Source organism: Homo sapiens, chromosome 2, assembly GCF_000001405.40.
Source record: "Homo sapiens chromosome 2, GRCh38.p14 Primary Assembly".
NCBI classification, from domain to species: Eukaryota; Metazoa; Chordata; class Mammalia; order Primates; family Hominidae; genus Homo; species Homo sapiens.
In genome coordinates, this window is record NC_000002.12 from 21311058 (window position 1) to 21335061 (window position 24004).

General features: G+C 40.3%; 1 long non-coding RNA gene across 1 annotated transcript in view; it reads left to right on the top strand.

Moving 5' to 3' along the window:
• Positions 1-3063: 3063 nt before the first annotated feature.
• LOC105374318 (uncharacterized) overlaps positions 3064-24004 on the top strand; it is a 43370-nt gene continuing 22429 nt past the window's right edge. The window contains exons 1-2 of the long non-coding RNA XR_939801.3: positions 3064-6756; positions 9346-9437. This is a non-coding gene — a long non-coding RNA (uncharacterized LOC105374318). The remainder of the gene's footprint in view (positions 6757-9345; positions 9438-24004) is intronic.

A 24004-nucleotide genomic window follows, 5' to 3' on the forward strand; every position in this document is an offset into this window, starting at 1 on the left:
GGTGATGTGTTTATGTATAATACTAGAAATAATGCATGCCCCTCATAAGTGCTTTATATATAGTAATATTATTCCATGAAATGGTTAACATGCCATGTAATCTTACACAAAAGGTGAAGTTATGTGTAACAAAAAAATTTTACACTGTTTCAGTCTTTTTTTTTTTTTTGAGACGGAGTCTTGTTCTGTCACCCAGGCTAGAGTGCAGTGGTGTGATCTCGGCTCACTGCAAGCTCCGCCTCCCAGGTTCACGCCATTCTCCTGCCTCAGCCTCCCCACCAGCTGGGACTACAGGCGCAGGCTGCCAAACCTGGCTAATTTTTTTGTATTTTTAGTAGAGATGGGGTTTCACCATGTTAGCCAGGATGGTCTTGATCTCCGACCTTGTGATCCGCCCCGTCGGCCTCCCAAAGTGCTGGGATTACAGGCCTGAGCCACTGAGCCCAGCCGGTTTCAGTCTTTAAATTTAACTTCACTAAAATTAGTTCAAATTAAATATTCAGTTTCTCAGTTGCACTAGTCACATTTTATATGCTCAACAGCCACGTGAGGTTAGGGGCTACCATAATGGATGACACAGATCTAAGACTTCTGGACATCTTGCAGAACATCACATTTATCCATTACATCAATGACATCATGTTGACCGGGCTGGAAGAAGAAGAGGTAGGTGGCATACTGAAAGCTATGGTAAGACTCATGGGGAGCAGAAGAGGAATTCTGCAAATATTCAGGAACCTATTATATTCATAAAATTTTTAGGAACCCAGTGGTCAGAAGCATGACACAACATCCCTCTGAAAGGAAAAGAGAAATTGTTGCATCCTGCACCTTCTGTCTTGAAGAAGGGAGCACAACAGTGCTGGTAGGACTTTTCAGTTCCATTGGTAGTGTATTCTACACATCATAGAGATATTGCTTTGGCCCATACATAAGTAACACAAAAGCCTGCTAGCTTTAAGAAGGCCCAGAACAGGCAAAGTTTCTGCAGTCCTACCACTTCAGCCATATGATCCAGTAGACTCTGTGGTGTTGGAGGCATCGGTGGTGGCAAGAGATGCCACCTAGGGGTTGTGACAAGCTCTAGTGATGGAATCCCAAAGCAGGCCCATGAGGTTCTAGAGTAAAGGCATGCTACCTGCAATGGAGAATCATGGTTTTTTGTTTGTGTGTTTTTTGGTTTTGGTTTAAAAAAGAACAAAAATCAGCTCCTAGTATACTGCTGAGCCCTGATAGTGACAGAATGCCTGACAATGGGGCAACAGGTGACCATGTGGCTGAAACTCTCCGTCATCAGCTGAGTCCTGTCAGACTTTCCAAGTCGTAGGTTGGGTAGACCCACAACAATCCATTGCAAGATGGAAGTGGTGCATCCCGGGTTGGGCATGAACAGGACCAGAGGACACAAGCAAGTACCTGAGCAGGTAGCCCAGATCCCTGTGGCATCCACTACTATTGCATTAGTGATTATCCCTTGGCTCATGCCTAGGACTGTGTGTGGGATCTCATGCAAGCAGTTGAGGAAAGAGGAAAAAGGCTGATCTTGCTGACCAATGGGTCAACCTGTTACATGGGTAAAAACCAAAAATGGACAGCCACCTTATTACAGCCTGGAGGTATCCTTGAAAAACAGCAGTGGGAGAAAATTCTCTTAATTGTAAGAGCTTTGGATAATACACTTGGCCATCTATTTTGTATGAAAAAAGAAAAGGTTTAATACATATGGCCTCACAGGCAGCAGCAAATAGAAACAGACTGGAAGATCAATAACGAAGTCTGGGTTGATAACATGTGCATGGACAAATGCGAATTGTCATGAAGTGTGAAGATTTTTATAGCACATGTTGTACCCACCAGAGATCACCAAAAGAAGAGGCACTAAAAAACCAAATAGGCAAAATGACTCAGCTGGATGATGGCAGCCAGCCTCTGTCATCAGTTACTTCAGTGCTGGCTTGAGGGATACATGAACAGAATGGCCATTATGGCAGAGGTGAATGCTACACCTGGGTTCAGCAACACGGATTCTGAGTTACCAAGGCTAATCTATTTACTCCCACCACCAATGTCCAGCCTGCCAGCAACAGAGGCCAGTGCTGAACACTCAAATTGCACCATTCCTTGAAAATATAAAGTGGCCACTGGTGGCAAGATGATAACACTGGACCCCTCTCATCCTGCGAGGTGAGCAGTTTCCTTTCACAGGAATAAACACATAGAACTTGTGTGGGTATAAGATTTTCCCGCCTACAGGGCCCAGCCAGCACCACTAGCAAAGAGTTTATGTAGTGTTGCATTCAACAACATTGGATCCAACTGGAAAGGGAAAGAGGGAGGGTGGGATGGGGTTGGGGGTAGGGGAGAGAGAGAGCAAGAGAGCTGCATTCCCAGAATGAAAGGAGTTCACATGCCTAGAGAGGTATCAGTAAAGGGGAGTGGGAGACAGAAAGTTGGAAGGTTTTTCAAGGGGTGGATCATGGAAAGGCCTTGTAGGCCATGCTAACAAGTTTGAGCCATATGGATATAGGTAACCAATGAAGGACTTTTTTTTTTCTTTTTGAGACAGAGTGTCAGTCTGTGGCCCAGGCTGGAGTGCGGTGGTGCAGTCTTGGCTCACTGAAACCCCTGCCACCTGGATTCAAGAGATTCTCATGCCTTAGCCACTCACGTAGCTGGGATTGCCAGCATGCCCCACCATGCCTGGCTAATTTTTGTATTTTTAGTAGAGATGGGTTTCGCCATGTTGGCCTAGCTGGTCCTTGAACTTCTGGCCTCCAGAGATCCTCCTACTTTGGCCTCCCAAAGTGCTGGGATTACAGGCGTGAGCCACCGTGCCAGATCCCACTGAAGGATTTTAGAAAGGTGGGTGGCATGATTGGATTCGCCATGAACTCCTTATTATCTCGGACTTTATTTCTTACCTTATTTGTTGAGAAGAAGAGGGATGTGAAATTTGGAACTAAATTAAAATCCATGTGAGCCAGGCCTCTGTCCTATTTATCTCAGAAGAATGCCCTCTCATTTTTATAATGAGACAATCGCCAAGATTATACTTTTTTTAAAGTGGCAAAAACATACAAAAGGAGTAAAGGGGATCTTTGCCTGCTCATATTTGTGAAAACCAAGAACAGAATATAGAAATGCCCAAAGAGCATGTTTGAATACATCTCTTTGTAAAACATGACAGAAAGGAGTGATTATTTAAATTGGACAGGACTTTGCATTCCTGGCTCCTTGGTGGCAGTGCCTTTTGTCTGAACTCTTTTACTAGAAAAATGTCACAAAGGATAAAAAATGAGTCCAATAAGTTTTATTCAATTTCAGAGTCTATTATATATTCTGTTTTACACAAAGCATATAATTTTAAATTTCATAGATAGGCACACTGAACATACACTTGGTAGATATACAGCTATTTGTACGAGTGAAATTGAAACCCTCCAGGGAGGGTACATTAATAATTCCTTACTTGTAAGACAGAACAGCCATCTCATATTCCAAACAAAGCCCGGCCAGCACAGAAGTGATTCATGGTCATTTATGAAAACTGATTACCAATCACCAGATTGTAAAGCCATGGCAACATTTATTTTTCAATCTCATAAACAATAAAGCTCCTTTTTGTTAAACACATGAGGGACCTCTTTCCCATGGAGGAGTTAGTAAATGCAAAAGCTAATTTTCCACATCTGACAGCATTCATGAAAGCTGATGAATACATGTATGATAAACACATATTTCAGTAGAAAGAAAAATTAATGTGTATATACCTACATAGCGTTTTCTTTCACTGGGGTGTTGATCTGAGAGTAGCGGTCAGGGGAACCTGAATCTTTTATTTTAGTGCCTCAAAGGCAAACATTTTCCTAATTGGACAGTTTAAAATATTCAGTTCATTAATCCTAGATAAAAGCCATATTCATATTTAGCTTAAATGGTTCTTTTCAACAAGATATATTAAAATTGTAGTTTCTTTATTTAATAATGAGAAACAAGAGATCACAATAATGTCTGATTTGTAGCTTATTCTCGATACTTGGTAAAGACATTAGACAAACCATTTATGAATTTTCTGTCAACAAAGTGTCCTAAGGTACCACCAGGAAGAACCAGCATGGTTTTGTGACCCACAGGTCCTGCTGGGGCTGCTTTTTCCTATTCCAGTGGTTGAAAGCCAGGCCAAGTGGACACAAAAAGTAGCAAGGTCATTCTCTGCTTGGCCTTCACTTGTTGTGTCAATGTCTGTTATGTGTCCCAGGGAGACAGTAACTTCTCCAAGGTCAGCCTGAAAGCCTGGAAGTCTTCTCCCCCATCCTGTAGCCAAAAGTGGTGGTGAAGGGATATGAAATCCAACACTGAGTGAAGGGGTAGGAAGAGGGTGGGGGGATGGAGGAACACAGGCAAATCAATTTCCCGTGATGTGCATAATTGGTCTTACACTTGGAAGTGCTTCTGAAAACATTTTCATTCAGAGTGAGCTGAAGAAGTTTAAGAAATAAGCAGTCCTAAATCAGATGATAGGTTGGGCCATTTTCAAGGGTCATGTGGCCAGAGCTGAGCAAGTTGAAATTTTGCTGGCAGAAGTCCATTGGTATTTTTGGACCCCTGTAGGAAGAATAGGTAAATGTAGATTTTAGGCAATGTGGCTTCTCCTGATGTAACTCTTGAGTTTGACTTTGAAGCACTGGGCCCGGACTTAGTCTTTCCAGAGCCTTAGGACCCCCATGTCTAGGTATTCATTAGAAGAGGCGAATCCATGTCCAGTCTTTGGCTCCTGCCTTGTTACATCTCTTCCTTGTCCTTTGGCCAAGCTCTGCTCCAGGCTTGAGCCTTTTTTATTTCTATAACACAGTTTGATTCACTGTTGTTGAAAATCTTGAATGGTGGCATCATTAATAATACATTCATTACCTCAGTCAAAAATGGCCAGCGTTCTGCCTTCTTATCTGCTTCCTTGAGCATTTTATTGCCAAACCATGAAAAGAAGTGGAGTTGTGGGGGCAAAAGTAGTTCAAAACTTCCAGTCCAGTTCTGGCCGCAAGAACAATCTTTAATTCTTGTTTTGCACCAAATATACTATCCCTTCTGGGTCTGTTCTAAGCTGTGTAAGCAGATAATTTCCAGTTTTTCAATGGCATTTTTAATAGTTACCTTCTGGAATTCAGCTTTCAAGGGATTTCCTGATAAGAGCTATGTAATCAGGATGGAATCTCTTATTAAAAGGATTTTCCTTTTCCAAATCTTGAAAAAAGTCTGTTTCTCTCTTCTCAAATTATCAGGCAATCTATCAATAATTGAAGGTGAGATTGAAACTATGACCTTGGCAGGTAGTGCAGAAGATTTGCTGAAGTTGTTTAATAGTGTGAGCTATTTTTTAGATTACGGAGTGTTTTTAAACTATATTAAAAGTAAACTTCTTTTCACACTCTTCAGGGGCCTGGGAACAGGTTCATTTGTTCAACAAACATGTCACTTATTCAACAATCAGTACTATGAAAGTAGAGGAAAAGAGTGAATTGAGGAAGTTTCCAGTTGCCCTTCACACTGACTCTCCTTGGCACGTTGCTGCTGATGGGTCCATCCTTGGCCTACTTACCATGGTGTCGCACAGTTATGAGGACAGTTCTAAGTCTGTCTCTGGATAAATGATGTACCAGGCCCTAGTGCATACAGACCTTCACCTGAATCACAGGGGGTATGTTAAAATGGCTGCAAGCCAGATACACAGTCAGTATCTAAATGGAAGGACTGGAAATCTGTGTTTCCACAAGCTCCCCAGGTGATTCTCAGGCTAACTAAAGTCTGAGAATTAAAGCATCAGAAATTGTGCCTAGAAGCCTGCCTTTGTAAGTTAATAGAATGATCTTGGATGATCTATTTAACCCCTCAGTACCTCAGTTTCCTCATCTGTAAAATGGCAGATAATAACAGTGTCTACCTCATGGGAATAGTTTTAAGGATTATGTAGTTATTAATTAAAAGATGTTAAATGCTTAGACCAGTGCTTAGAGGTGCTATGTAACTGTTTTCAATTATTATCACCATTAGTTCTAGGATTGCTTATAGCTGGACACTCAGCCTGTACGGCTTTCCCTATGAACCTTCAGCTGTGCCCAGTTTCAGGGCTCAGCAGGGTGTCTGAAGGCAAGGTCTCTTGTCTTGTGCTTAATTGGGAGAGGATGAGCAGGGGGCATATTGTGAAGCAAGGGGGCTCAGAGAGCTCTGGGCAGTAGACGTGGTGATTGAGGCCAACTTTCGTTTAAGTCTCAATACTGCCCCCTCGTGGCAGTATAAACTAAGGCCGGAGCCTATTTCCGTTACCTGTTAGACGGAAGTGAAAAAATTAATGGCTACTCCCTTTCATCTCTTCAATTTTGCCTTTTTTTTAACGAATCGTTAAAATAGGGACATTTCCTGTTAACTTGACTTTGGTATTGTGTTCTCTGACCCAAAATTGGGAAACCACGCTGAAGGGTGATTCCACAATGAGCTGGTCAATCTTGGCTATCACCTTCCTCCAAGTTATATTGTGGGAGGCTAAGTAAAGAATTAGGAGAGAATGGAGAGGCGGAGAGTTCTTTGGAGATAGAGTGTTAGTGTGCAGAACGTTCCCTCCTGTCCTGTCTTCTGCCCCTTCCTCCTCTCAAAGCTGAGTGGGAAGGGGCTTCACACAAAGATCAGGAAAGCTTGACGTATGGCTAGTGAACTTTAGGAGGGAGAGGTACTGGGATGTGGCTCAACCAGAGAAAATCCCAGGTGAGCAGCTGGCTGGAGTTCCTTGCGGTGGCAGAGCAGGGACAGGGCTACCATAGAGTGAGCTGCCCTCCCACCACAGTGGGGCAAAGGTGCTTGTTTTCTGTGGGCCAGATGTAGAGTCTGATGGACAGAGGAGGCCGTGGGCCATCTTGCAAAAGAACCTTGGCCATGAGGCGTCCTGCTTAGGGGTGAGGTGGGCTCTGCAGAAGGACTGCACTATTAGCTGTAGAAGCCATGGAGCATCCTGCGGGGTTAGCTAGAGATTGTACTAGGGAACTGCAGTCAGAGAATGGGGGGTGGAGGAGAATTTCTAAATACCCACAAAAGCAACCTGGGAGAGAAAGGATCAAGTCCAACATATGGACAATTACTACACTCAAGGTACCAACACTAGATTACAACTCTGCCTGACAAGAGAGGCCTTTTCTTTCCTTCCTTATCTCTTTTCCCTTCCCTTCACCTGACTATGGAGAAGGCAGAAATGGTCAGTGAGGGAGGAGGTGAAGCAAACCAAATCTGAAATTGTCCACACCCCTCCAACTCTGCTGATGTAGGATGTAGATTTCTGAGCCTGGGACAAACCAAAGCTTGGCAACAGGAGAGACTTTATATTGAATGAGGGTTTGAAAGTTTAATATTAAACTTGACTGGGGCTTTCCAAATCATGAAGTAACTGAAAATGCTGTAGGAACTGTCCAGGATTTTATCTGACAGGGAAGACTGATTCTACGGAGTAGGTGTAAAGGGTCAGCAGTGAGATAGAAGAAAGTTACCTTTGGCTTGCACACTGCCAAGTCCAGCTGGTTCACTAAACTAGGTAGCCTTGTAATATAAGATTCAAAGGCGCTAATGTGTGGGAAAGTACTTTGAATATTATAAGGTGATGTACATACTTTGAAATTAAAAATATTTTTATATATAGGTGTAGCTAAAAAAATAAGACAGAAGAGACCTATTAAGCACCTACTCAGTGCAAAGTTGACCTTGCTTTCAGTGTTTAGAGGATGCAGGAAAAAAATACGACATTGTTCCTGCCTGTGGGGAGCTTATTGTCTCTAAAGAGCGACAGTTGCAAGCCCCACCATTTCCTTATCCTCTTTTCTGCCAGGTCAAATGAAGTCAGACAGCAAAGGTGATTGAATTTTCAATCTTGAAAATACATCATGGAACCTGATTTTCCAAAGAAGTGATTCAAACTGAACAGCAAGGAAGCTTAACTTATTGCTGCCTGTCTCAGAACTCAAGCTCACACTTCTCTTTTCTTCAAATACTCGCCTGTTTCTAACAATCTGCCCACTGCTCTGGGTCCCGATGCCTCGACGCTGCATCTTGCTGCCCCGGTACTCTCTTTAACCTCAGGAGAAGAATCCCCACCTCGTGTCACTAGAATGTGGAACAGAGAAGAAGGAAGAGCTGACATAGTACAGACCAAGAAGATTTTAAAAACAAACAAACAAACAAACAAACAAAACCACATCCAGTTCCATCAGCCACACCTGGCAGTAAAGCCCTCAGTGGCCAACTCAGCAGTCCCACTTTGATTCTTCTTAGACGGCAGCATCTTCTTAGATAATGCTGTGCCTGATGCACAGTAGAAGCTTAATAAATACTATGACAAATTAATGTCTTTACTGATTATATATAGTTTTCTGGGTGAGAGCAATGAAGATAATCCTATGTCTTCCTTAATCCAGGCAACAGACAGCTTTCTGTTTAAAATTTGTGTTCTGGATAATCAGGGTATACAGAATGCTGATGTATTACCATAGTATCAAACTACAATAAGGCAATGTTAATCTAGCAATATATATAATGAGAATATTGGCTACAACAGAAAAACAGGGGCTTGTCTGGTCTGTATCTCTCAAGTGTGAGGAAGCAGTTTAGTCAAACAAGTTGAAAAATAAAACAAAATTTAAAAAGGATAAAAAAAAACCCTGGTTCTTTGTTTTCCAGGGGAGACCATCTCTATACTGAACTAAATTTAACTTCCCTATTGTGTATGATCGCCCTCCAATATGGGGCTACTCTGCCCAGAGGGACGACTTTGCCCGTGATGAGGATTAATCCCACTCTTGACCCACACAGATGGTTTTAGTGACTGTATCTTTTGTGCAGCTCCATTTCTTCTCAAAATGTGCAGATGAGATGTTTCTTCCAGCCTCTGGATATTGAGGTGCCTGGGATACCTGAGTGAGGGAAGAAAGGAGCACCAAGAAGTGGCAGCTGAAGCCAGATTGCACAAGAGAGAAAGGAAGACCATCCAAGGCAGACAGAAAAACTCAAGAGAGCAGCCGTCTGGGGCTATTTATCACATGAACAAAGTCAGAAGCCTTTCAATCTTCCTCCTGTATTACATCAGGGTTCATTTTTAAAAGATACGCAACTTGGTGATCACAAGTTATTAAAAAAAAGTAGAAGAGATGGAAGTGTGGGTGTCATGCGTTGTGAAAAATTGTCCATTTAAAATGGATACAAAATGGAAGCCCAATTTTATTTAATGACAGTAAACTTATCTAGAATGCTGCATTCCCATAGCCTATCAGCTGAGAATTAGTTGATTGAACACCTTCTGCTTGTCTTTGTCAGGCCCATAGCTACATGAAGACTGGTCTCTGTCCTCAAGTTGCTTACAGTTTGCAGGTGCTACACCAATGGGTATCATTTGTATCTCACATAGGGTGAGTATTGATGGTTGCTCTGCCAAGCCTTTTAGTGACTCTTACCTTGCTCTTCACGCAAAGAATATATCATATACTGCTGTGCCACCCAGGGCCATTCTCTCACAAATTAGAGCTCCTTGATCCTGATCCTCAGAGTTGTAGAATGAATTCCACCCTAGGATCCAGAAAGGAGTTTTGGGGAGGGTTTTGGAAATGGTGCGAGAATAACCCGCAACCTAGGGAAGCAGGCTGCATCACAAAGCATGAATAACCAGGCCCCACAGTGGTTCGTGGAGCTCCAAGCAGAATCTATCTGCCCAGAGGCAGCATGTGGTTGGAGGGGAAAGAGCCTACCTGGTAGGAGATGACCTAGCTGTCAGTCATCCTTTTAAAGCTACAGGCCTTGGGGGAAATATTTTTCTTTTGGAACCTCAGTTTTATCATCTGAAAACCAAGAGGTCTGACCTCACACCCTCTGTAAAATTCTTCCTGAGTTGACTTTCTGATTAAACCATTTCCTCTTGCTATGTGCTATTGTCGTCCACAGCTGGATCTGTTTCACTGACATTTGGATTAAGCCCAGTGAGGCAGTAAATACACAGCGCAAAGTTCTTTATATGATAATAGGGTGGACCCTGGCTGGCTGAAGGCCCTGTGCACCCAGGCACAATGGCCCCAGAATTCTGCATCTGACTCAGTGCTCCCCACATTATGTGCAATAGACTTTGGTGAGGATCAAAGAGAGGCATTGAGGAACCATGTCCACCCTCACATATCCTTGATCTTGAATGTAACCTTCACACTGCTGGTTTGTTGATTGGCCTATTTTGGAAGACTTCTTAGCCAAGGTCCAGTTGCCAGAATGGCCAAGTCTTCATATCTGAATTAGCATTTGTATTCTCCCATAGGTCACATGCTACCTGATTTGAGAAATTAGGACACATTAAAGATTGTATTAATTCCCAGTCATTCCTTCAAAACAAAAAAAAATGACTGAACAAATAGTCATAAGTTTATTTAATTTCTATTTGCTCAGGCTAGACATCTTAGGACACCCTTAAGCCTCTTCTTACCTTGGGACTAATATGTAATCAGTAATGAAGCCTTTTGATGCTTCTCCATGCTGCTGTTCCTCTCTGGGTCTATCTCTACAACCCTAATTTAGGACCATCTCACAGTCTATCTTGACTACTACAATATTTTCCAGAGTGGCCACCATGCCTCATCTTTCAACATTTCCAAATCCCATTTGTCATATGTGTGTATCTACATTAGCTTGATACATCTTAAACCTTGGCCATGGTTTTCTCTTAGACAGAAACATCAGTGTTTTCTATTGATCCAGAAAGAAGTCCAAATTTCTCAGGTTCATATTTAGCGCCCTCCACCCTGCCTCTCCATCCTCTGTTTATCCTCATCCTGACATAGTCCAACACAAAACCTAGGTCCTGTCATCACTAAATTTTTAGCGAGTCTTCGAATAACTTCCATTTCCTTCCATTACATATCATGTACATTCCTTAAACCCTCCACCATGCTGTAAGCACTTTAGGGGTAATATTCAAGCTGACTTCCTCTGTCTCCTATAATAGCTAGCCAGGAGTGTGACACAGACTTCATTTTAGTTCTTATAGAACAAATCAGTGATTGTCCCCCACAAAGCCAAAGCCATTTCTACCTTCAAGTCTTTCTCGGACAATGCCCTCTTGGAGTGCTTCCTTCTGCTCACCTTACATTTTTTGATATTTTGGTGAGTTAAAGTTAATTTTCATCTAAAGTTTCCCTTTTCTTGGCATAAAGCTCCTGATAATCTGTTCTTATCATATTAGTTTTGGTGGCATTGGTAATTAAATTCCCCTTTTTATTCCTAATATTGTTTATTCATGTGTTCTGTACCTTTTATCTTGATCAATCTTGCTAGACGTTTGTTAATTTTATTACTTTTCACAAGGAGCCAACTTCTAGCTTTTGTTTTACCCTCTCTTTTGTATATTGCTTTTCTATTTTATTAATCTGCTTTTATCTTTATTGTATGTTTCTACTTGCTTTGGGTTTAATTTGCTGTTCTTTTTTTAACTTTCTAAGACAGCTGCTTAGTTCAATACTTCTCAGCTTTTTTTCTTTTTCCAACATAAGCATTTGAGATTCTGGTCTTGCTATCACGATCGTTTTAATTGCATTTCATAATGCAGGAAATTGCTACATAGCATTACCATTTAGTTTTAGATATTCTTGAATTCGTAATATGATTTTGTCTTTGATGTGTGAATGATTTAGGAGGGGGTGCTTGTATTTCCAAAAGTGAAGTTTTCCTAGTTATCTTTTAGCTACTATTTCTTACCTAATTGCTTTGTGAATTTAGCATGAAACCAAATCCTTTGAAATGTGTTGAGATTTTCTTTATGGTCCAATATATTGTTGATTTTGGTTGAAAAGATTTCATTGTCTTAATTGTTGGGTGGAATGTTCTAGAAATGTCCATTGTGTGAGGCAGCTAATAGTATCATTTCAGTTGATATTCTTAATGGTTTTATCCTCTGCCTAGGCTAATAGCTACCAAGATAGTTGTTAAACAAAATCTTTAACGTGGTAGTTTGTGTATTTTTCTGTATAGGTATAGAAATATTTGCTTTAAATATTTTCAGGATATATATTAGGTACATATGTATTAAGAGTGATTATGACTTTCTGATAAACTGAAACTGTTAACATTATATAGTGACCTTTTTTCTCTCTCTAGTTATATTTTTCCCTGAGTCAATTTTGTCTGATATTGATACAGTATTATTTTTTTAATATTTATCTGGTATATATATCTTTTCATTATTTTACTTTCAATCTTGTGGTATCCTATGTCTTAGATATGTAGGACATATCTAACACAAAACTGAATTTAAATAAATAACACAAAACTGAATTTATTTTTATCGTCTTCGATCTTTATCTTTTAACTGTAATATTTTATGTGTCAATATTTTTCATAATTACTGATATTCCTACACAATATATTGATTTCTATGTATATATTCATACTCAACATATTTATTTGTGTTTTTTATTTATAGCATATTTTTTTTTGAGACAGGGTCTTGCTCCCAAGATAAGCTGTGACACAGTCCTAAATTAGGGTGGTAGAGATAGGCACAGAGAGGAATGGTAACATGGAGAAGCATCAAAAGGCGTCATTACTGATTACATATTAGACCCAAGGTAAGGGGAGGCTTAAGGGTGTCCTAAGCAAATATTCACCTCGGCTGGAGTGCAGTGGTGTGATCACAGCTCACTGCAGCCTCGAACTCCCAGGCTCAAGCAATCCTCTCCCTTCAGCCTCCTAGGTAGCTGAGGCTACAGGTGCATGTCATCACACCTGGCTAATTTTTTAAAAATATATTTTTGTAGAGAAGAGGTGTCACTATATTGCCCAGGCTGGTCTGGAACCCCTGGGCTCAAGGGATCCTCCTGCCTTGGCCACCCAGAATGCTGGGATTACAGACATGAGCCACTGCACTTGGCCGTATAGCATCTAATTTTTCTATTTATTTTGTCTGTTCTATATTTTCCTCTTTCTTGCCTTACTCTTGAGTTATTTTATGTTTTATTATTACATTTCTCATCTTAGAAGCTTTACACTCTATTTTTCTTCTTTTAGTGAGTACCCTAGAAATTTTAACAAGCATATGTAACTTGAATTCTAGAGTTAATCAATATTTTGACCTTTAGCCTCAACAATGACTCTATAAGCCACTCTCTTTATCCCTCTTATCCCTCTCCTATTTTTTCACAGCTTTGAGATATAATTTGCATGCAATTTGCTCATGTAGAATGAACAATTCAATGATTTGTAGTATATTCAGAGTTGTGCAACCATTGCCACTATCTAATTTTATAATATTTTCTTTTTTTTTATTATACTTTAAGTTCTAGGGTACATGTGCACAACGTGCAGGTTTGTTACATATGTATACATGTCCCATGTTGGTGTGCTGCACCCATTAACTCGTCATTTACATTAGGTATATCTCCTAATGCTATCCCTCCCCACTCCCCGCCACCCCACGACAGGCCCCAGTGTGTGATGTTCTTCTTCCTGTGACCAAGTGTTCTCATTGTTCAATTCCCACCTATGAGTGAGAACATGCGGTGTTTGGTTTTTTGTCCTTGCAATAGTTTGCCGAGCATGATGGCTTCCAGCTTCATCCATGTCCCTACAAAGGACATGAACTCATCCTTTTTTATGGCTGCATAGTATTCCATGGTATATATGTGCCACATTTTCTTTATCCAGTCTATCATTGATGGACATTTGGGTTGGTTCCAAGTCTTTGCTATTGTGAATAGTGCTGCAATAAACATACCTGTGCACATTTTCATTACCCGCAAAAGACACCCATACCCAGTTGCAGTTACTCCCCATTTTCCCCCACCTCTAGCTCCTGTCAACCACTAATTTAGTTCCTGTGACTATGGATTTCCCTATTCTGGAAAATTCATGTAAATCTATTATACAATATGTGGTCTTTTATGACTGGTTTTTTTCACTTATCATAATGTTTTCAAGATTCATCTATGTTGTTGCATATATCATTACTCCATTTTTGTGGTCAAATAATATTCCATTGTATTGATAGGTGTTCTAAATATTTTTAAAACTAAAGTTGGCTTCAGTGATTATTTTAAACTTGAAGGCCCCTTCTTTATTTATTCCCTGATTTGAAATTATTTACTTTGTTGACTCTTCCTGCTAAGTCAAGTCATTAAATTTAGCTTTTTCAGTTCTTTGTAGGAGGCAGTTGAGTCAGGGAGCTACACTGGGGGACAAAGTAACCATCCAAAGGCCTTCTTTTCTGTCATTTGACTCTCCTGCCCATCCTTCTCCACAGATCAAACCGTCTTCACTAGGGAGCCAGCATATTGAGGCCTCCCTCTCCTCATATTCCTTTGGCACTATTTTTAAGCCCTAAGTACGTCCATCTTGACAGAGATGGCCTTGTATTCAGTTACCGCTGACCATGATGAGAAGCCCTGGGTAGACATGGATGATCCCTACTGTTTTTCTCCATCTTTAGAAAGGCAGTCGACTTAGGTATCTTTTGAAAGGCACTCGAACATATGGTAGGGAGAGGGTAGGTACTCAAGAAATAACTATTGAACAAATAAATGATCAGAGTCTTTGACTTCTATTTTCTTCCATGATGATTGAATTCTCTGAGCTAAATTTCATGTATCTGATTCCTGATGCCTGGATAAAGTGAGCTGAGATAAGGAGCTAATAATGCACCACTCTGGGCACCTTCTCTGGGCCTGGCTTTTTGATCTCAGTGGCGTGGAAGGGGGTCAAAGAGCAAGCTCTTATTATTTACAGCATCTACAGGGGTTGCAGGTGGATACAGAACAAATCATCTTCCCCAGCCTGTCGCCATTGATGCCTCAGACTTCCGAGGACTGGGAGGAATTTGTTGCAATTTTGATTTCTCTAGTTCAGAGGGGGCTTAGATATATGTCTATCTTAAGCTCCTTATTGTCTTTCTGCATATCGTGTGGCAAAAGCAAGGTCTCAATGGAGCATATTCAAAAGGGAGATCCAGAGAGGCATTTGGATCAGATCTGATTAAACCATAATCCCCTTATTATTACCACCTTGGAAAGAAAGCACTGCCTAGCACCAGTGGTGGGGCATATTTTAGAGTTGCTTATATGGCTTGTTCTGGTAGGCAGGACACAGTGACCCAGGAGGCCTTATACTGACCTCATAGGTGGGGAAGTTGTCTTTGAATTTGCATTTTTAAGCCAAGCTGGGAATGGAGAGCACTGAGGTTGAACAGATGGGGCTGTGGTGTCTTCACTTCGGGGTAATGAGAAATCAGCATTCCCAGACAGCAGAGGGCTCAGGAGAGACACGATCCAGCAACTTAGGACAGTTTAGAGAGGGATTAGAGAGGCAGTGAAGAATCATCACTGCAGAGCTTTCTGCTGCTTCATGAAACCAACACCCTGCCCTTATTCTTTCTTTCTGAAATAGAAGTTGGTTCATCAGGGATGTCTGATCTTAACACAGTTGAGAGAATGTATATCTCTTTTTTAAAAGAGCGAATAAGTGGAACAGAAATGAAAATATGGTGTTTCAGCCTAGCAATAACGGGGGAAGATTTCACATAAAACAAATCTAATTTATAGTTGGTGCTTGCGAAGGGTTGTGGAGCCTTACACATAATAGAGGCTTAATGGGTATTTGTTGAATTTAATGATTTGAATCATTTGCAGCAAAACAAATTCCACTTTGTCTGAATTGCTCAGATCAGTTTCCTCCTCGCTCCATTTAGTGCAGCAGGCAGGTGAGAGTTTCCATGTGCAGTAGAACCACAGGATGATGGAACCATTGCCCATCTACACACCATCCCCTCAGCCACAGAAGCATGTGACAGTTGTACTGAAACAGAAAGACCTTGGCCTGAGTCCTGGCATGAGTCCTGGCTTTCTAATTTACCCATTAGAAAAAATACAGGACTCGTTGATGAGAAATAACATTTATAGGAAACAACACAATGTCTGGCACAGGCTGGCCCTCAATAAACTTTTGTTACAAAAATAAATTGTGATTTCCCCACAAGGTAGTGTTTTATAAAACTTGGTGACTCCAGCCTGTAATCCCAGCACTTTGGGAGGCCGAGGCGGGTGGATCACCTGAGGTCAGGAGTTCAAGACCAGCCTGGCCAACACGGAGAAATCCCGTCTCTACTAAAAATACAAAAATTAGCTGGGCATGGTGGTGCGTGCCTGTAATCCCAGCTACTCGGGAGGCTGAGGCAGGAGAATCGCTTGAACCCAGGAGGCGGAGATTGCAATGAGCCGAGATCAAGCCACTGTACTCCAGCCTGGGCGACAGCAAGTCTCTGTCTCAAAAAAAAAAAAAAAAAAAAAAAAAAAAAGTGGTGACTCAGTCTCAGTACTTCCTACTAAAATATCCATGCATTCTGAGAAAAACATGGAAAAGCCTAATAGCCTAAAAGTGTGAATTAACCTGTGACTTGTGATGATGTCTGAGATGCCTTTGGATTAATTATGATAAGATCTGTAGTTGATTGGAAATCCTGAGCATGGGCTGGGGCTGATACCTTTATTTTTGGAAGGACAAGCGGCACACCCATAGCCCTGAAGCAAAGTTAGGAGAAGGCTACACTAAATGGAGAACTCACAGAAAAATCTGCTTTCAAAAGAAATTGAGAATGTTTTAGTCCACCCAATTACTACTTATTTTTCTTTATCTGCTCAGAGAATATAAACCCCAATTTAAATATGTGGGTTCTGGGCAGAAGCAGATCAAGTGAGGGGGCTTTTTTCAGTAGTGCAAGTAGAGGAAGGGGTTGTGACGAAAAGAAAGCACTCCAGGAACTGGAGTTTTCATCTGCAATTAAATGAAGATGCCTGGAAGTGGGCACTCAGGGATCCGGAGTCAGTCAACACTCTCCAGATGATGCTCATATGTAGCTAGGGTTGCAGTCCTCTAGAGAGATAATAATCAAAAGAGGTGTTTCTCAAAATATGTGTTAAAATACAGATAAAAGACCCTCCCTAAGACATACTAAATCAGAATTTGGGAAGGAAGGGCTGGGTCTTGGGATTCTGCCTTTTTTAACAAGCCCTTCAGCTGAGTTTTATGCTTACTTAAGTCTGAAAACTGATGACAGTGGATTGCAAACTTAGCTACATATTAGAATTGTTTGGGGAGCTTTAAAAAAAAAAACCTGATGCAGAGGCCCCAGGGTTCAACCAGTTTAAAAGCTCCCCAGCGAGTTCAGTGTACTGCAAGGATTAAGAACCACTGAACTAGAGGCTGTGTATATTAATAAACCAGTAAGCTTAAAATGTGGGAGAAGAATTCCTATGGCAACAATACAGACCGAGAATCCATTCCTTTTGCTTATTGGTTACACACATTTCCAATTCCGAGATTATTAAGCTAATGAGGGAGCAATGGGAAGTGCTGCAATGTGTGGCCAACCAGGCTTTACTAGCAGAGTCAAGGATTAAACACTAGATGCACTCCTTTTAAAACAGGAACGTGATAAGCATGTTCACAATCATTAAAATTTGTTCTGGAAGTTTTCACTAATGAAATAAGACAGGACAGAAAAATGCAAGAGGAACTTGCATTTTTATCCCTCTCATCCCTCTCCTATTTTTCATAGCTTTGAGATATAATTTGCATGCAATTTGCTCATGTAAAGTGAACAATTCAATTATTTGTAGTATATGCAGAATACTGAATATGTGTTAAACAGGTTAGCAAAATTATATTTATTGTTGATGTTAGGGTCTCTTGCCTAGGACACCTGACGTATAACTAATAAGGATGCTTAGCAAGTTGATAAGATAGAAAGCAAACATTTAAAAAGCACTCTCTTTCCCATAATTTAACATTAACCAATTAGAAAAATAATAGATGATGATGTTATTCACATGAGCAAGGAAAATAAATCTAATGTCTTTTTTTTTTCCTTTTTTTTTTTGTTTTTTTTGAGACAGGGTTTCACTCTGTCACCCACACTGTAGTGCAGTGGTGAGATCATGGCTCACAGCAGCCTCCACCTACCTGGTCTCAGGTGATCCTCTCACCCCAGCCTCCCAAGTACTTGGGACTACAGGTGTGTGCCACCACACTCGGCTAATTTTTGTATTTTTTAAAGTAGAGATGGGGTTTTGCCATGTTGTCCAGGCTGGTCTTGAACTCCTGGGCTCAAGCTATCCACCAGCCTCAGTCTCCCAAAGTGCTGGGAGTAGAGGCATGAGCACCATGCCCAGCCCAAAAAGAAATCTTAATTAAAAAGGTAAGATGTATAAGGAAACCACTTAGCATTAATGAGCAGTATAAAAGATGTCTTATATAAATGGAGAGATCCACCTTACGCATAGATAGGAAAGACTGATCTGTAACCATGTCAACTTTCTGCAAATTATAGTTTTAACACAATTTCAAATAAAGTCACAGTGTTTGCTTATTTAAAAATTGATATGATTATTCTAAAGTTCACCTAGGAGAATGAGTGAAGATTATTCAAGAAAATTGTGTAAAAGACATACATGTTACCTGCCCTACTGTTTATGACAATGTACAAAACTGAAAAATCCAGTGATATCTTTCAAGAGGAAAAAGTATTGTAAAAGACAGAATAGAAAAATGAATGAAATAAAAAGTGTTAAAACATCCCTAAATTACATATACATTCATGTGATTTGATAGTATTTCAGATCCTTGGAAAAATTAATTATTCAACAATTAGAACCAGAACAGTTGATTTACCTTTGAAGAGCATACTCAGGTTAGATTTCTACCTCGTGTAACAAAATTAATTCCAATTCAGTTAAATGCCCTTTTATAAATCAACATAAAAATGAGTACCTTAGTAGAAAATATATAAAGTTTATAAACCATTTTTAAACGAAGAAATGTAAGTGACCAACAAGAATGTGAATTTAAAATAACATATTTTTTTCATTTATTTACTTTGCAAAGAGAAAAGCTGCGAAGAGGTTGTGGTAAATTGGCCTCTCTTCTACTCTACTGTTGAGGGTGTAATTTCGCATAATCATTTTCGCAGGGTAATTTGGAAGCATGTATTAAGTCTTAAGAATATGTATTCTTAAAATGTCCAGAACTTTCAGCAAGTAATTCCATTTCCAGGAATTTTTCTTTAGGATATAATCAGAGATTTGTGTAATGACTATTGCATAAGGATTCCTAGTACTACATTATTTTTATAGTGAAAATTAGGAAAAAAACCATAAATGTTCATAGTAGGGAATTGCTTAAATTTTGGTTTAGTTCTGTAATGTAGTTCTGTAAAACCTTAACAAACTGTCTTTTCAGAGAAAAAATGACAAGGGAAAAGTGTGGGCTGTTAGTAAAAAAAAAAAAAAAAAACAGAGAAAAACTGCAAAAATTAATTTATATATTAGCTTTTGTGAAGAGGGAGTTTAAAACACCCCAGACTCTCTGGCGGAATCAAATCTGGGCATATTTTATTGAGTAATATATTAGGAAGTAAAATAACTTTGTGTAATTATAAGGTTTTGCTCAGATATGGGTGACTCTTCTCTTGCTTTTGTCTTGCCGGAATTAAAATGACACTTTGTATCTTTGACTATTTCTTCTTCTTCTCCTCCTAGAAGTGGGTATATGAGAAAGCAGGCATGGACAAGAGGGCAGAAGCTGTTGCCATTGGGGAAGTATTCTCTCCTGCGATCTTTTTCTCTTTGTCCTTCTCTCTGGTGCCTGGAGCCTGGCATGGACTCTCCTTCCTTATGTTAAAGTAGTAGGAGGCAAGATCCCAATCCAGGCTTAGGAGAAGCAGAGAAGGTAGGGCCTTTGGTTTCCCCAGCACAAGGAAAAACAGTCCTTCCTCTTGCTCATTAGAGCCACATGTTAGGGCTTGGGACCAAACATCAGGTATCAGTATGATCTAGCTGCACCTTACCCTCTGGATGTATTTATTTCACTCGGAGACCTTTCACATTGTAGTGTTCTAGGACAGGATTGGGTGGTTTAAGCCTTGATCTAATACTATCTTAATCTCATCAGAATTTCTCTCTGTCTCGTCTCTCTCTTGAGAAACTGATTTTACAAATAGAGAATGGCCAGACCGTATATAAAAATAGAACTCTGACTCGCAATCTGTAGCAATCAGTCCAGAAGGACAAACCACAACCTCTGTAGCAATCAGCCCCAAACAGTCAGGAGTTGAATCAATAACTGCCAGCTGCACTATCTTTTGCCCTGTTTCCAGTTTAGAACTAACCAGGGGAAGCTAAATACGCTCTCCTTTCCAATTACACAGGATGCCCTGATTCTAGTGAGCCTACCTCCAGCTTCCCTTATGCCAAAAACCTCCAATAGTGGCATATCTGAATCTTCCCTTTTTGTTCATTATAAAGCTTTTATACTCCACTGCCTACCTTTAGTGTCTCTGAACTGGAAGTAATGTCCTTGCTCTAGCAAGCTCTGAATGATCTTTGCTTGTTCTCATTTGAGTGGTCTTTGTTTCCAGACTTTATCTGTGTATTTTCCTATAGGTATATGACTATATATACAGAGAAATATATACCATAAAGGGAGAAATATCTAGTATCTGTAGAAATATACACAATAACCACAATAAATATATATTGCTATATTAGTTTCATATTGGAAAACTAAATGCACAGGGTGGTCACATTGGAACTCAAGGAAGGCCTGGCTTCCAGCACACTTTCAAGAAGTTCTAAAACTCCAAAAAAGAAGAAAAACTATAGGCTGGAATCAAGGAAGTCTCTGGGAGTGAGAAACTGGAGCAGAAGCCAGGTGGAGACAGGAAGTCAGAGGTCAGTGTGATTTATCTGTAGTGCAATACAATTATGTCAAAGACTAGTCTGGAAGTACTCTTGTGAGCAGAGAGGGAGAGAGACTGAAGGCAGGAATGCTAGCCAAGTCTCTTCAACAGTGTAGAAGAAATTCTGAGATCACCCAAGAAGAAGGGATAAAATACTACTTCTTCGAGCCATATTGTGATGGCTAATTTTATGGGTCAATGTGACTGGGCCACTGGATGTCCAGATGTTTGGTCAAACATTCTGAGTTTCTGTGAGGGTGTTAATGGATTAGATTAAGGTTAAAATCTTAACCTTAATCTAAAGCAGATTTTCCTCCACAATATGGTGGGCCTCATCCAATCAGTTGAAGGCTTGAATAAAGCAAAAGGCTGACCCTTTCTCAAATATGAAAGGATTAGCCCGTTTGAATGCCTTTTGAGTGAAACATCAGCTCTTCATCAGCTCTATCACAGCTACTGGCTGTTGGACTTAAACTATGACATTGGCCCTGTAGATCTTAGACTTGGCCTTCCTAATGACATGAACGAATTCCTTATAATAAATTTCTTTATATATAGGATATACATATAAAATATAGAAAATTTATATACAGGATATAAATATATATATGCGTGCACACGTGTGTGTCTATAGAGGATATATATACATAGGCTACAGATAGAATATATATAGATTGTGTTTCTCTGGAGAACCCTATAGTATACTATAGCATAGGAAATGTTTCCTGTTCTATAGGAACCATTTTTCAAGTTTGATTAGACTTAAAAGGCTAAGCTGGTATTTTGAATGAAGGAAATTGAAGCTTTTAAGCTACAGAATGAAATCATTAGTAGAAATGGAAAAACAAAGAAGGCCAGAAATGATATGGGGCAGGGGAAGTAGGGGATTGGCTAGTTCTCTTTGGAATATATTGAGTTTTAAATGACAGTAGGATATCCAAGAACAGCCGAGGAGCTGTATATGTTTTATAAAACATCCTCTGTAATGTTATTTGAAAGGAAAAAAAAGCAGTGAGATATAAAAGTTTAATGGATTATAGAGAGACTGATTTCTTGAAACAATTATCCCCAGCTCTGACACCACAGGTTATCACCAGTTTTCTTAAGGAATGTCACCAAATTTTAATCAAAATTAATTTTAGTTTATTTTGCTCACTAATCATGATCTGAAACAGCACACATCAGTGGGGATGAAGTGGAATGAAGTAGTCTCTCATATACCACTAATATTTTGCAACAACAGGCAAGTTGTAATTGTTATGCAAAACTGTCTAGATTGCCAGTTTACACTGAACTCAGCAGGTGACCCCTTCACTCTCCAATTCTCTTTGCATGTGCATAACCAGACTCAATGGTGTACAGAGGGACTGCTCAAAAATGTTGACTGTCAAATGCATAAACATGAACCAGGGTTAGAAAAACAGGATTAATGCAGCCTGCTTAATGAGTGTTCTCTGCAGAATGACTCTTCAGCAAGGAGGCAAATGTCCAATAGATTCAAGAATGTAACTGGAGCAGCAAAAACAGGTCCACTGGTGGCGTCACTCTCCGAGCTGTCTGATGCCCTGCTTTGCGCTTCAGTCCCTGCACACTGAATCGTTAACCTTTGGCACTGCGTAGGGTTCAGCATTTCAGAAGTGTCTTGATTATGAAAAATCTGCCAGCACTAATGGGGAACCTCTGACCCAGGTGCCAGCCCAGCCTTACAGCTCCACAGCTGCTGCAATTTTGATTGAAAAACAGGTCTCTGGTGTCAGGAACAAAGTAACTGGGAATTGGGCCACCTGTAATAGTTACACTTTTATGCAAACCATGAAGATTCGTCTTATTTTTTTTCTTTTCTTCTTTTGCTGTCAAAGGACTGATTTCCTACATTGTCTGAACACAACACATACAAATCACCATCTTCAACTGCCTTCTACTCATATATTTCAGTTAGGGACCTACTGCATGCCAGCTCACTGCTAGTTGCTGTTTTTTTTTGTTTTGTTTTGTTTTTTTTTTTATGAGAGAGTGTCATGGTTACACACACCCACGCCCACATACACATGGATGCACATTGGTGCCAGGTGCTGTAAGTCACGTTAATCCTGCCTGGTAGTCAGATAAGAGGGAAATCATTGTAGACTTGAGCAGCTGGGAAGGCTTCTTGGAAGAGGAGTAAGGGGCCTGGGCATGGAAGGATAAGTGGGATAGGCAGAGAAGAAGTGGAAAGGGCCTTTAAAGCTGAGAAAACAGTCTGGATTGGGGCTTTAAACCACTGGAGTTCTGCTTGGAGGTCATGTTTACATCACTAGTAATTAACGTATGACAGACCACAATGCTGATTAAATATTAGCTTACCTATTTGTTGAGCCTTGTATATTCAGGGGATAGTAGACAGCATGCTCTGGATTTTTCAGAAATCCTCCAAAATAAAATGAGCCCCCAAACCCCCAAACAACCTCTGTAAGAGCCCCACCAACGTGTTTCTGTAGCTGTGTTTTCCCAGTTTCCTTTCGTGAAAGGACGTGATCATTGTGTGGTAGAACCCCGAAAGGTAGGCTCGAGTACCTAATGTGCAGTATGCCAAATGCTGACACATCATGGCTTAGGAGTAGAGAAAGGTTTATTTGATTTTGCCAAAGTGTGAGGGCAGGAGAGAGAGGCAAACTCTCAAATCTAACCTGCCTTTGAATATAACTGGGGGCTTTTATGAGTAAGGAAGGTATGCAGGAGGTGAGATCCCCCAATGATGAAAGCTGCTTGTGTCCTTCTGTGATCAAACTTCTGGATGCCACCACGGAGGTCTGCATGACCTAAGGATCATTGTTCTTTAAAAGAAAAACAAGTTCATTCATCTTGCAGGCAGCCCCCATGGGTAAGGATATGAAGTTAATCAATTATGAGTGACTGCCCTCTACCAAAATGACTATGTGCAAGCAGTCATGCTTGGAGGAAGAAAAGGACAGAGAAAGGAAAATAAGTAAATCAAACACCTGATGATTTTTACCATATAGGCTTAGTTGCAATTATACTTCTGTTCCGAGTGAACATGGGATTGTTCTAAAGACATTAACAAAGGTCTTTCATCCTGCTCACTCAGTCAACACAATTTCGGAGAGCCTCTTCTATGCCAAGCACCATTCTAGGAAATGAGTATACCAGTGAAAGAAACAAAAATCCCTGTCCTTATATAGTTTATTTTGTAGTGTCTGTAGTGGGGAGAGATGGTCTTTTAAT